This window comes from Homo sapiens, chromosome 15, assembly GCF_000001405.40.
Source record: "Homo sapiens chromosome 15, GRCh38.p14 Primary Assembly".
Taxonomy (NCBI): Eukaryota; Metazoa; Chordata; class Mammalia; order Primates; family Hominidae; genus Homo; species Homo sapiens.
This window is the reverse complement of record NC_000015.10, coordinates 64,607,225-64,621,919: the sequence shown is the minus strand read 5'-3', so window position 1 is coordinate 64,621,919 and position 14,695 is coordinate 64,607,225. Positions and strand designations below refer to the sequence as shown.

General features: G+C 44.2%; 1 protein-coding gene and 1 long non-coding RNA gene across 6 annotated transcripts in view, besides 1 other annotated feature; one reads left to right on the top strand and one right to left on the bottom strand.

Moving 5' to 3' along the window:
• The window catches only part of ZNF609 (zinc finger protein 609), a 226,491-nt gene that overhangs the window by 64,149 nt on the left and 147,647 nt on the right, over positions 1-14,695 (bottom strand). The window lies entirely within an intron of this gene.
• Positions 1-14,695, top strand: part of LOC101930091 (uncharacterized) — a 92,612-nt gene that overhangs the window by 12,793 nt on the left and 65,124 nt on the right. The window lies entirely within an intron of this gene.
• Positions 3,701-4,293: an enhancer, noted in NCBI's record as "NANOG hESC enhancer chr15:64909826-64910418 (GRCh37/hg19 assembly coordinates)". NCBI's record gives its function as "activates a minimal SCP1, AML or CMV promoter by ChIP-STARR-seq in primed H9 embryonic stem cells {active_cell/tissue: H9 hESC(primed)}" and the evidence as "EXISTENCE:reporter gene assay evidence [ECO:0000049][PMID:30033119]".

Sequence of the window (14,695 nt, the reverse complement as noted above, 5' to 3'; positions counted from 1 at the left end):
ACCCCATCTCTACTAAAAATACAAAAATTAGCCGGGCGTAGTGGTGGGCGCCTGTAATCCCAGCTATCCAGGAGGCTGAGGCAGCAGAATCGCTTGAACCTGGGAGGCAGAGGTTGCAGTGAGCTGAGATCGTCTCAAAAAAAAAAAAAAAAGAAAGAAGCAATTTGCTTCCAAAACCAGAAACTAGAACCTCTCACAAGAATGTAATTAGTTAGGTTCCAAGAAGAATGCAACCCATCTAGAGACAACATAAAAGTTGTGATGGGTCAGGTGCAATGGCTCATGCCTGTAGTCCTAATGTTTTGGGAGGCCTATGGAGGAAGATCACGTGTAGCCAAGAGTTCAAGACTAGCCTGGGTAACATAGCAAGACCCCACCTCTATAAAAAACAAAAATAAAAAAGGTATCTGTGTGTGGTGGCATATGCCTGTATTCTCAGCTACTCCAGAAGCGGAGGTGGGAGGACCACTTGAGCCCAGGAGGTTGAGGCTACAGTGAGCTATGATTGCACCACTGTACTCCAGTCTGGGTGACAGAGTGAAATCCTATCTCAAAAAAAAAAAAAAGAATGAAATGAAGTGGGCAGTGATCCTTTAACTCTTTAAATCCCAGAATTTATGAGGCTGACAAAGTCTATTATGCTCGAGTGATTGATGCCCCAATCCTGAATGAGCATAACGTCTTGCATATGCAAAGACACTCAATGCACACACTGGCTTATTTCCTCCGAAGATTAAGTATGATACTAATCAGCAGACCTAGAAAATGAGAGTCAAAGATTGGGACTTTCCCAATCCTTGGGACTCTTCCCTTTGTGAGGAATTCTTAGTCTAGGTCCTTTAATAGAGAGTCCTTTGTGAGGACTTCTTAGTCTAGGTCCTTTAATAGACTTCTTAGTCTAGTCCTTTAATAGAGACATTCAGAGAAGATCATACATGTATCCGTAAGCCAAGCTTCTAAATAGCTCTGCAACAAAACTCTGATTCTGGAATAATTTACTACATGACTATCACTCTATCTATAATCCATTTCCCTCCCACAACACACACAGAGACAAACACCTTCCTGGCCTTGAAAACTAGCCTATAGGCTGAGGTCTGGGTTCCGGATCCATTCTCCACAGTTGGCTCTGACTTCTTGGCTTAGAAAGTCATCACTATTTGTAGATCATCATTGTGAGTCCACAGAATGTTCATACACTGATTCTGATTAATTCTGGTCCCTGAAGAGCTGCCAAAACATCCTTGTCTGCTTGTCTCACACACACACCCCTTGTACTTCCCCAACTCCACCTTTTTCATGAAATGAAATGGAAGTAGAAGCCTGTATAATGAATCATCTACATTTATGATAAATGCCAAAAGGCATATTTGCTCTCTTGAAAACTGGGCATTTATAATTTAATTTCCCAACCTTCTTGGGATGTGGTAGATCCTGGAAAGATCTTTAAAATTTCCATGCACAGAAGTGAAGGTAAAAAACAACACAGAAAAAGTAAACTGGATCCTCCCTACTCACTCCTCTGCAGTGCTGGAACAAACTCTTGAGAGTCACTAGAGAGGGAAAGTTAGAGACAGAATATACAGATCATCTTTACTCTTGGCCTCACCTCTGTTTATCTATTCTTTCTCTTGGGGAAGAACTGTGACAGAAGCAGTTTCACAGCCTATATGTGTACTTCTTTTGCTTAGGGTTTGTTCCCTTTTTTATACTTTCTTCTACTCACAAGAGAAATTCCTGCAAGGTCCTACTGGACACAGACATTGGCCTAAACCTTCCAGGTCACCCCTGTGAACTTTCTGATTGCCTTGCTTGCACATGTCCTATTGCCAACCTGTTCCACAGCTCAGGCAGCAACCCTAGGCACAGAAGGAAGTTTACCCCAGGGAGACACCTATACACTTTCTCTCAGCCACTGAGGACAGCTCTTTTCTGGAAGTAGTTTAATTTCCTGCTAGGTTATTCAGTGCTCCTGGCAGGCTAGGAGAAACATATGCTAATACATTCTAGATAAAATGAAGTCCCCAGTTTTGCACCAAGAAATCCAGAAAACAACACCTAAAATGTAGGTTGGAAACATCACTGTTGCATTCAAGCAGTCTGCCAAATTATACCCTGCTATACAATAAGTGAAGAGAAGAAACTTCAGCTGAACTGATCACTAAGAATAACAGAACAGACTCATACACATGAGGAACTCATTAACAAGTATGCATCAAACTACCCTTACTGATTAGAGTTACTAGGCAGAGTTTGGCATCTCTGTTGTATGAAGATGACTTTATTTAATTACTTAGTTAATTAAAAGAGATGTTCAGGGATGGGGAGAAGCGACGAAATCCACCTATGGGTTTGAACTATTCATTTTCCATTTACTTTGCAACAGAAATCTAAGGAGAGATCACAGAGCAGCATAATAGTATTTAATTACAGCTCCAGCTCTGTTAATTACCATTTGGTCACATCTATAATCTAACATTAAGCCATAGTGCATAATAAGCTCTGTGATATTCATCTAATAACCTATGTGGCTTTACAGGATTTCATATTCTATTATTCACTGAAACAAAGATAGCTTCATTTATCACTTTCCAGGAGAAGATAACAATCAGAAAAAGGGGGCTGGGTGCAATGGCTCAAGCCTGTAGTCCCAGCACTTTGGGAGGCCAAGGCAGGAGGAGTGCTTGAGTCCAGGAGTTTGAGACCAGCCAGGGCAACATTGTGAGACCCTGTCTTTACAAAAAATTAAAAACAAAAACAAAAACAAAAACAACTAGCTGGGTGTGTTGGCACACACCTGCAGTCCTAGCTACTTGGGACGCTGAGGTAGGAGTGACACGGGTGTGCTGGGTAGAGAACGTGGTCCCTTTAAATGATACAGAAGGGGGTAAGGGAAGTGCTGGGTAGAGGAGGGCATGGTCCCTGGCTAGGGCTCCATCAGGGGCCTGTGTCCACGGACCTAGGTAGATAGGCATTTTTGTTTTCCCGCCCAAATGTTGGATTTCCCAAGACCACCCTGGCCTGCCACAGCCCCTCCCTGTGCCTATAAAAACTCCCCAGACCCTAGCAGGCAGACACACAAGCGGCTGGACTTCTAGAGGAACACATTGGCAGAAGAAGACACAGCGGCTGGACCTCGAGAGGGCGTTGAGAGGAGCATGCCGGCAGAAGAGCACACGTGGCGGAAGAGCACATGACAAATGCCAGCAGGCCGTGGAACGAAGCAGAGTTTGGCTGGGGCATTTGGAGAAGAGCCTGGGCCGCTGAGTAGCTGAACTCCAGGGGAAAACCATCTCCCTTCTGGCTCCCCAATCTGCTGAGCATTACTTTCACTCAATAAAACCTTACACTCATTCTCCAAGCCCACATTTGATCCAATTCTTCCAGTACACCAAGACAAGAACCTTGGGATACAGAAAGCCCTCTGTTCTTGTGATAAGGCAGGGGTCTAATTGAGCTAACACAAGCCGCCTAAGGACAGCTAAACTAAAAGAGCACCCTGTAACACACACCCACTGGGGCTTCAGATGTAAGCATTCACCCCTAGACACTGCCGGGGTTGGAGCCCCATAGCCTGCCCCTCTGTATGTTACCCTACAGGTCTGAGCAGCAGGGCAGTGAAGAAGTGAGCCACACTCCCATTGCACGCCCTGTGAGGGGGACAAGGGAACTTTTCCCATTTCAGGAGGAAAGTTTTGTCCCGGGGGTGAAGGCTGCAGTGAGCTGTGATCGTGCCACTGTACTCTAGCCTGTGCAACAGAGCAAGACCCTGTCTCAAAAAAGGAGAAAAAAAAATCAGAAAAGGACTCATTTTGCCATCTTTTCATATACCTAAAATATAAGAGCAGGGATTGTCAGGAAATTGGGGCCAAGAGGGAAAATAAGGTATAGGAATATTAAAAAGTTAAGGTCATTAGATGCCTTAATAACTACACCAACAAAAGTTAAGCTAATTCTCAGTCTTTGAAATGCTAAGAAGTGCCATCATGGCTCCTAGGGCTTAGCTTACTAGGGAGGTAAACAACAAAACAAAAGCTTGAAAAGAGACTTATAGAGAATTTAAAGAGGAGATCTCTGGAGTTTCCCAACACTTTATGTCCTTTATCTTTTAATACTTTTTGTTTGTTTGTTTGTTTTTTGAGATGGAGTTTCACTCTTGTTGCCCAGGCTGGAGTGCAATGGCGTGATCTCAGCTCACTACAACCTCTGCCTTCCAGATTCAGGCGATTCTCCTACCTCAGCCTCCCAAGTAGCTGGGATTACAGGCTCCCACCACCATGCCTGGCTAATTTTTCTATTTTTAGTAGAGACTGGGTTTTGTCATGTTGGCCAGGCTGGTCTCGAACTCCTGACCTCAGGTGATCCAACCGCCACAGCATCCCAAAGTGCTGGGATTACAGACATGCCTGGCGATAATTCTCTTTTCTTTGAGACAGGGTCTCGCTCTGTCGTCCAGGCTGGAGTGCAGGGGGTGATCATGGTTCACTGCAGCCTCAACCTCTCTGGCTCAAGCAATCCTCCCACCTCAGCCTCCCAAGTAGCTGGGACTACACGTGCACCACCATGCTAGGCTAATTTTTTTTTTTTTTTAATTTTTTGGCCGGGAATGGTGGCTGATGCCTGTGATCCTAGCACTTTGGGAGGCTGAAATGGGAGGACTGTTTGAGTCCAGGAGTTTGAGACTAGCCTGGGCAATACAGTGAAATTTTGTCTCCAAAAAAAACAAAAACAAAAACTTTGTAGAGACAAAGTCTCCCTACGTTGCCCATCCTAAAATGATACTTCTCAATTTACCTTTACATAGCAGTTTAAGGCCGGACGCAGTGGCTCACGCCTGTAATCCCAGCACTTTGGGAGGCTGAGGCAGGTGGATCACCTGAGGCCAGGAGTTCAAGACCAGCCTGGCCAACATGGTGAAACCCCATCTCTACTAAAAATAAAAAATTAGCCGGGCATGGTGGTGTGCACCTGTAATCCCAGCTACTTGGGAGACTGAGGCATGAGAATCACCTGAACCCGGGAGGTGGAGGTTGCAGTGAGCTGAGATTGCACAATTGTACTCCATCCTGGGCGACAGAGTGCAAAAAAAAAAAAAAAAAAAAAAAAAGCATGGTGGCTCACACCTGTAATCCCAGCACTTTGGGAGGCTGAGGCGGGTGGATCACAAGGTCAGGAGATCGAGACCATCCTGGCTAACACGGTGAAACCCCGTCTCTACTAGAAATACAAAAAATTAGCCGGGTGTGGTGGCGGGCGCCTGTAGTCCCAGCTACTCAGGAAGCTGAGGCAGGAGAATGGCGTGAACCTGGGAGGTGGAGCTTGCAGTGAGCCGAGATCACGCCACTGCACTCCAGCCTGGGCGACAGAGTGAGACTCCATCTCAAAAAAAAAAAAAAAAAAAAAAAGATATCAGTTTAATAACATATATAAGGATCTCAATGTTGGTAGGCAGATGACACAGAAATGGGGACTTGAGAGAATAGAGAAAGGCCAGAGTCATTCATCTCCCCACAAAGAGTAATTATAACTATATACCTACTTCAACTGCCTCTCACAGATGAGAGGCACTGATGGACAAAAATCTTCATGGCTGCAACATAACTTTACAGGTAGAAAATACACTGAAGGCCAAATGTGATGGTTTATACCTGTAATCCCAGCACTCTGGGAGGCCAAGGCGGGAGGATTGCTTGAGCTGAGGAGTTCTAGACCAGCCTGGGCAACATGGCAAAAGTCTATATTTACAAAAAATAAAAATGAGCTGGGCATGGTGGCACATCCCTATAGTCCCAGCTACTTGGGAGACTGAGGCAGGAGGATGAGGCAGCAGCTATGACTGCACCACTGCGCTTCAGCCTGAGCACCAAAATGAGAGACCCTATCTGAAAAAAAAAGAAATTCATTGAAGAGATATTTGAGATAGACCTTGCCTTTTCCCCTTCACAATGAGTCTTGTATCTTCACCTTCACAGACAAAAACGCAAGAAGGAAGTTAGTTCTACTGATAACAGCAGTAGTTCTAAGAAACTTTGTTTTATCCAAAAATAAAAAGGTAGTTGGGGATGTTGGTACATGAATGTTCAGATTTATTCAGAATTATCAGATAAGATTGTGTAGAAAGTAAGATGTCACTAGCTGGGCACAGTGGCTCACGCCTATAATCCCAGCACTTTAAGAGGCCGAGGCAGGTGGATCACCTGATGTCACGAGTTCAAGACCAGCCTGACCAACACGGCAAAACCCCGTCTCTACTATAAGTACAAAAATTAGCCAGGCATGGTGGTGCATGCCCATAATCCCAGCTACTCAGGAGGCTGAGGCAGGAGAATCGCTTGAACCCAGGAGGCAGAAGTTGTAGTGAGCCGAGATCGTGCTATTGCACTACAGCCTGGGCAACAAGAGTGAATCTCCATCTCAAAAAAAAAAAAAAAGGATGTCATCAAATACACTAAACATTATGTTGATAAGACGTTATCAAGACAGAGGCAGTAGCTCACACCTGTAATCCCAGCACTTTGGGAGGCCAAGGACAGAGGTTCACTTGAGCTCAGGAGTTTCAGACCAGCCTGGGCAACATAGAGAGATCTTGTCTCTACAAAAAATTCAAAAACTAGCCAGGCATGGTGGTGTGTACCTGTAGTCCTAGCTGCTCAGGAGGCTGAGATGAAAGAACTGCTTGAGAGGATGGGAGGATTGCAACCAGAAGGTTGAGGCTGCAGTGAGCCAAGGTACTACCACTGCACTCTAGCCTGGGCAATAGAATGAGATACTGTCTTCAAAACAAAACAAAACAAAACAAAACAGGCCAGGCCTGGTGGCTCACGCCTGTAATCCCAGCACTTTGGGAGGCCAAGGCAGGCAGATCACGAGGTCAGGAGTTTGAGACGAGCCTGGCCAACAGGGTGAAACCCCGTCACTATTGAAAATACAAAAATTAGCCGGGTGTGGTGGCGGGTGCCTGCAATCCCAGCTACTCAGGAGGCTGAGGCAGGGGAATCCCTTGAACCCGGGAGGCAGAGGTTGCAGTGAGTCGAGATTGTGCCCCTGCACTCCAACCTGGGTGACAGAACAAGACTCTGCCTAAAAAAAAAAAAAAAAAAAAAAAAAAAGCGAGATGTTATCTTTACCAATAATCCAAAAAGTGCTTCAAGATTTTACAGTGACTCAACATCAGTAATGTTAATAGTAATATAGGTATACAGGGCAGAGGGATTAAAATGAATACTCACTGATTCATGGATAAACATATAAATAATCCACCAAGGTATTATATAAAACTTAATTTGCTCACCAAATTCTTATTGTGGGTTATTTAAAAGAATGGCAAATAAAACCCCATTTATCTATTTATTAAGTTATTTATTTTTGTCTCTTGAAATACAGAAAAGGCCAGGCGCGGTGGCTCACGCCTGTAATGCCAGCACTTTGGGAGGCCGAGGCAGGCGATCACAAGGTCAGGAGATCAAGACCATCCTGGCTAACACGGTGAAACCCCATCTCTACTAAAAATAAAAATAAAAAAAATAGCCGGGCATTGTGGCAGTCGCCTGTATTCCCAGCTAGTCAGAGGCTGAGGCAGGGCAATGGCGTGAACCTGGGAGGCGGAGCTTGCAGTGAGCCAAGATCGCGCCACTGCACTCCAGCCTGGGCGACAGAGCAAGACTCCGTCTCAAAAAAAAAAAAAAGAAATACAGAAAAAAGGCTGGGCACATGGCTCACACCTGTAATCCCAGCACTTTGGGAGTCCAAGGTGGGCAGATCACTTGAGGCCAGGAGTTCGAGAGTAGCCCGGCCAACATGGTGAAACCCCGTCTCTACTAAAAATACAAAAAAAATTAGTCAGGCGTGGTGGTGGGTGCCTTTAATGCCAGCTACTTGGGAGGCACAAGAATCGCTTGAACCTGGGAGGCAGAGGTTGCAGTGAGCTGAGATTGCACCATTGCACTCCAGCCTGGGTGATAGAGCAAGACTGTCTCAAAACAAAAATCAGAAAAAAAAAAATCTTCAATTATTTGAACCACTTTCTGTTGACTGGAATTTTGAGACAAAATTCCATTCAATAAACAAGTTTAGGCCAGGCGGAGTGGCTCACGCCTGTAATCCCAGCACTTTGGGAGGCCAAGGTGGGAGGATCACGAGGTCAGGAGTTAGACCAGCCTGGCCAACATGGTGAAACCTTGTCTCTACTAAAAATACAAAAAATTAGCCGGGCATGGTGGCACATCCCTGTAGTCCCAGCTACTCGGGAGGCTGAGGCAGGAGAATCCCTTGAACCCGGCAGGCGGCGGCTGCAGTGAGCTGAGATCACACCACTGCACTCCAGCCTGTGCGACAGTGCAAGACTCCATCTCAAAAAATAAATAAATAAGTTTAAACAAGGATGATTTTTGCTTATTCTGAAAAATCAGCAATTCCTTGTCATGAGAGGCTAGCAGGTAGACATCATGGGATAATTAAGGATGGAAGGAGAAATCTGAATGCCTCCTTCCCACAAAGCTCTTGTCAGAATGCAACAGAATACCCTGAGTAAATCCCAAAACAACACAACATTTAACTATAAGTGGAGGAAATTCGGGTCCTTTTCTTTCTTCTTCTTCTTCGTTTTTTTTCTGAGACAGGGTCTCACTGTCTTCCAGGCTCATGTGATTATGGCTCACTGCAGCCTTGACCTCTCAGGCTCAAGCAATCCTCCCACCTCAGCCTCTCAAGTAGCTGGGACTACAGGTGCACGCCACCATGACTGGTTAACTGTTGTATTTTTTGTAGAGACAAGGTTTTGCCATGTTTCCCAGGCTGGTCTTGAAGTCCTGGGCTCAAGCAATCCACCACCTCAGCCTCCCAAAGTGCTGGGATTACAGGTGTGACCCACCATGCCTGGCCTCAGGTCCTTTTCTTTTCTGTGTTTTAGACAGAGTCTCACTCTGTTGCCCAGGCTGGAGTGCAGTGGCGTGATCTCGGCTCACTGCAACCTCCACTTCCTGGGTTCAAGTGATTCTCCTGCCTCAGCCTCCTGGGTAGCTGGGATTACAGACGCATGCCACCACACCTGGCTAATTTTTGTATTTTTAGTAGAGACAGAGTTTCACCATGTTGGCCAGGCTGGTCTCAAACTCCTGACCTCAAGTGAACCGCTGGCCTTGGCCTCCCAAAGTACTGGGATTACAGGCATGAGCCACCACGCCCGGCAGGTCCTTTTCAAACAGTAACTACACTTGGACCCTGCCTCTCCCCTGCCTTTGGAAAAGTAAATAAATAAATAAACAAAAATAAATTAAAAAAAAAAAAAAAAAAAGAGGCTCCTGGACTGCTGAGCTTCCAGATTTCACTTAGGCTGCCCTGAAAAAGAATTTGATTATAAATCTGGTTAATTTCCAAAATATCTTATAGCAGGAGGCAAGGAGGAAAAAGATAAAAAGACAGAGTAGCTGGCAACATAACCAGTCTTCAAACAGTTCTAAGAAGCTATATATAGGCCGGGCACAGTGGCTCACGCCTGTAATCCCAGCACTTTGGGAGGCTGAGGTGGGTGGATCACAAGGTCAGGAGATCAAGACCATCCTGGCTAACTCAGTGAAACCCCATCTCCACTAAAAATACAAAAAAAATTAACCGGGCGTGGTGGCGGGCACCTGTAGTCCCAGCTACTCGGGAGGCTGAGGCAGGAGAATGGCGTGAACCTGGGAGGCGGAGCTTGCAGTGAGCCGAGGTCGCGCCACTGCACTCCAGCCTGGGGGACAGAGGGGAATTCCGTCTCAAAAAAAAAAAGAAGCTATATATTCTATTATTCACAGAAGACTTAATGTAGTACTTAATTTTAACCAATCAGTACCTACTCAAGGTCAGCAGTGAAGGCTGTTCTATTGTGCACTAGAAAATGCAAGTACAGGCTGGGCACGGTGGCTCATGCCTGTAATCCCAGCACTTTGGGAGGCTGAGGTGGGCGGATCATGAGGTGAGGAGTTCAAGACCAGCCTGGCCAACATAGTGAAACCCCATCTCTACAAAAAATACAAAAAAAAATTAGCCGGGCATGGTGGCGGGAGCCTGTAATCTCAGCTACTCGGGAGGCTGAGGCAGAGAATTGCTTGAACCCGGGAGGCAGAGGTTGCAGTGAGCCAAGATTGCGCCACTGCACTCCAGCCTGGGCAACAAAGCAAAAGACTCCATCTCAAAAAAAAAAAAAGAAAAGAAAATTCAAGTACAGTGAACATTAAATTTTGTTTCTTTCTCTTTTGATTTTTGTTTGTTTTTGCTTTTGAACATATAATTTGAAGACTACAGACTTGCAGTCTACAGTCTGTTCTCCTGCAGTGATCCCTATACATTCTTGGGCTCAGACCCTAAATCCTTTTCTGCTAAAGAGGAGACAGCAGATCAAACAATCCTGATATTCAAGACTGTCTAGAAATTCCCAGTGTGTGGGAAACAGATAAATTATGCTTGAAATTTAACAAAGGAAAAAATCTCATAAGCAAAATCAGTGTGCAACACAAATCACATGGCAGTGTCCATTACTGTGGTAAAGGTTTTTGCTGAATGAAGCATCTCCATTGCTCTTCCCTAAGTCTTCTCACTCTACAATCTCCTGCCTGCTTGAAATTCACATTTTCCTTCAGCAAAGCTTATTAACTTTGCAGCTGATGAGTGATGATAGAGACCCAAGTACTTCCTCTGAAGCTGACTGTATGTTTACCATAGAAGGCTGATAATCCCTCCTATTCCTGTATGGTTACAAGGTAAGCATTAGGATTTGCTTCCTAAGAATAAAGAACTTCTGTAACTACTTCCTTTCCTGAATACACTTCTTTTACCTCCTTTCACATATGCATTTCCTAAAAAGTCAAGACTTAAGTGTGTCATCTTTACTCCACTCTTTTACCTTTAAGAATATAAAAACAAGTAAGCAAACAAAATGCAAAATTAAAAAACTCCACAAATCAAATAAAGTAAACACAACAGAAAGCTAAAGCCTTTTTCTGAAATCTTAATAATCACGATGTCAGAAGTCTTAAACAGCGATTCCTAGGCCGGCCCACAGAAATCTATTTAACCTATAACGTGGCTGGACCAAACTGTACTCAAGAACTAATGAATCATTATTCATACTGTCAGTCCTGTGAGAAAACATGAGAATTCTAAATTGAGACATCACAAATCACATTTTGCTCTGCTGTGGCTTAGGAAGGAGGAATGGGATGATTCTCCCTGCTATAAGCCAGCTGTTCTAAAACTTTCTGGTCATGGAAATTCTTAAAAAAAAATTATTATTTTAGAAACAGGGTCTTGCTCTTTCACCCAGGCCGGACTACAGTGGCGCAATCATTGCTCACTATGGCCTTGAACTCCTGGACTCAACGATCCTCCGGCCTCAGTCTCCTGAGTAGCTGGGACTACAGGCACACACCACTGCACTTGGCTATTTGTTGTTTTTGTTGTTAACTTTTAAGTTCAGGGGTACATATGCAGGTTTGTTATACAGGTAAACTGTCACTGGGGTTTGTTGTACAGATTATTTCATCATCCAGGTATTAAGCTTAGTAAATATTAGTTATTTTTCCTAATCCTCTCTTTCCTCCCACCCTCTACTCTTTTCTACTCCACTCTGTTTGAGTAGGCCCATGTCTGTTTGTTCCCCTCTAAGTGTCCATGTGTTCTCATCATTTAGCTCTCACTAATAAGTGAGAACAAGTGGTATTTGGTTTTCTGTTTCTGCGTTGGTTTGCTCAATTTTTAATTTTTAAATTTGTAAAGATGGGGGTCTCCCTATGTTGCCTAAGCTGCTCTCGAACTCCTGGGCTCAAGAGATCCTTGTGCCTTGGCCTCCCAAAGTGCTAGGATTACAGGTGTGACACTTCACCTTGCAGGAAATTCTTAAAAACTGAGAACCTTATTATTATTATTATTTTTTGAGATAGCATCTCATGCTGTCACCCAGGCTGGAGTGCAGTGGCTTGATCTCTGACTCCTGGGTTCAAGCAATTCTCATGCCTCAGCCTCCCGAGCAGCTGGGACTACAGGTGCATGCCACCACACTGGACTAATTTTTGCATTTTTAGTAGAGACGAGGTTTTACCGTGTTAGCCAGGCTGGTCTTGAACTCCTAACCTCAAGTGATCCACCCGCCTTGGCCTCCCAAAGTGCTGGGATTACAGGTGTGAGCCACCACACCCGGCCTTATTTTTTTCATATACTTAACATATTTTCCCCCTCTTATACCTAGTCCCATAAAAAAAAAAAATGAGAACCTTAAAGAGCCTTGGTTTAGGTAGGCTATATCCCTTGATATTTAACATATTAGAAATTAAAATGAGGCCATGCACCGTGGCTCACGCCTGTAATCCCAGCACTTTGGGAGCCCAAGGCGGGTGGATCACCTGAGGTCAGGAGTTCAAGACCAGCCTGGACAACATGATGAAACCCCGTCTCTATAAAAAAATACGGCCGGGCGCGGTGGCTCATGCCTGTAATCCCAGCACTTTGAGAGGCCGAGGAGGGTGGATCATGAGGTCAGGAGATCAAGACCATCCTGGCTAACAAGGTGAAACCCCATCTCTACTAAAAAACAAACAAACAAACAAACAAAAACAAAAATTAGCCTCTTAGATATTCGAGAGGCTGAGGCATGACAATTGCTTGAACCCAGGAAGCAGAGGTTGCAGTGAGCCGAGACTGCACCACTGCACTCCAGCCTGGGCGACAGAGTGATAAGAAAGAAAGTAAAAGAAAGGACAAGAAAGACAGACAGACAGAAAGAAAGAAAGAGAGAGAGAGAAAAAAAAGAAAGAAAAAAAGAAAGAAAGAAAGAAAGAAAGAAAGAAAGAAAGAAAGAAAGAAAGAAAGAAAGAAAGAAAGAAAAATTAAAACTAAAACATGCAAGTAACAGGGCTGGGTGTGGTAACTCACGCCTATCATCTCAGCACTTTGGGAGCCTGAGGTGGGTAGAATGCTTTAGCCCAGGATTTCCAGATCTGCAGGGGCAACATAGGAAGACCCCATCTTTAAAAATAAAAAAAATTAGCTGGGCATGGTTGCACATGCCTGTTGTCCCAGCTACTTAGGAGGCTGAGGTGGGAGGATCGCTTGGGCCCAGGAGGTTGAGGCTGCAGTAAGCCATGATCATGCCACTGCATTCCAGCTTGGGGGACAAAGTGAGATGCTGTATCAAAAAAATACACACACACACACACACACACACGCATGCATGCATACACACATATAACAATTTTGAAATAAAATTAGAGACAAAGAGAACAGATTGGCAGCTGCCAGGGATTAGGGGTGGGCAGGGGAAGGTGGAAGAAAGGTAAATGTAGTTGTAAATAGTCAACACAAGAGATCTTTTTGGTGATGTGGTGATGTAACTGTTCTGTATCTTGACTGGGTGGTGGATACATGAACTTATACATGGGACAAAACTGTATGGAACTACACACACCCAGAAAAACACACAAATGAGTACGAGTAAATGGGGGAAATCTGAACACAATAGGTGAATGCATCAATATTACCATCCCAGTTGCAATATTGTGCTAGAGTTCTGCAAGATATTATCATTGGGGAAACCTAGGAAAAGGGTACATGGTACATGAGAGTACTGTATTACAAATACAATTATATTAAAACAAAAAGATTTTAAAAAAGTTAAGAACCCCAAAGAACTTTTATTTATGTGGGATAAATTGACTGATGTTTACCAGACTAGAATTAAAATAAGAAATAATTTGGCTGGGCATGGTGGCTCAGGCTTGTAATCCTAGCACTTTGGGAGGCCAAGGCGGGCGGATTGCCTGAGGTCAGGAGTTCGAGACTAGCCTGACCAACATGGTGAACCCATCTCTTCTAAAAATACAAAAATTAGCCGGGCATGTTGGCGCATGCCTGTAATCCCAGCTACTCAGGAAGCTGAGGCAGGAGAATTGCTTGAATCCAGGAGGAGGGGGTTGCAGTGAGCCGAGATCCTGCCACCCTACTCTAGCCCGGGCAACAGAGTGAGACTCTGTCTCAAAAAAAAAAAAAAAAAAAAAGAAAGAAAAGAAAGAAGAAAGAAAGAAAGAAAGAAAGAAAGAAAGAAAGAAAGAAAGAAAGAAAGAAAGAAAGAAAGAAGAAAACATTTAAGGCCAGGTGCAGTAGATGACGCCTGTAATCCCAGCACTTTGGGGGGCCAAGGAGGGTGGATCACCTAAGTTCAGGAGTTCAAGACCAGCCTGGCCAACATGGTGAGACCCCGTCAGTACTAAAAATACAAAAATTAGCCAGGTGTGGTGGCAGATGCCTGTAATTCCAGCTACTCGGGAGGCTGAAGCAACAGAATCACTTGAACCTGGGAGGCGGAGGTTGCAGTGAGCCAAGATCGCGCCACTGCACCCCAGCCTGGGCAACACAGTGAGATTCTGTCTCCAAAAAAAAAAAAAAAAAAAGTATGCCTTAAGTTAGTTAAAATAACATTAAAAAACCTGTTAAATATTAACATATTATTTTCAATGTCTGGTTTAATAGAAGACAGCTGGATTCTCCATTCAATCTGTTGGTGAAATGTTTTGGTTCAAGTATACAAAGAAAATCAGCCTTACATAGAATATATATGGTACAGATATATGTATATGTGTGTGTTGTTTTACAGATAATGTATATAATGTTTGTATTTAATAGCCTTTTCAGATAACTGTGGATATTATTCCTTGATATGACACCAATA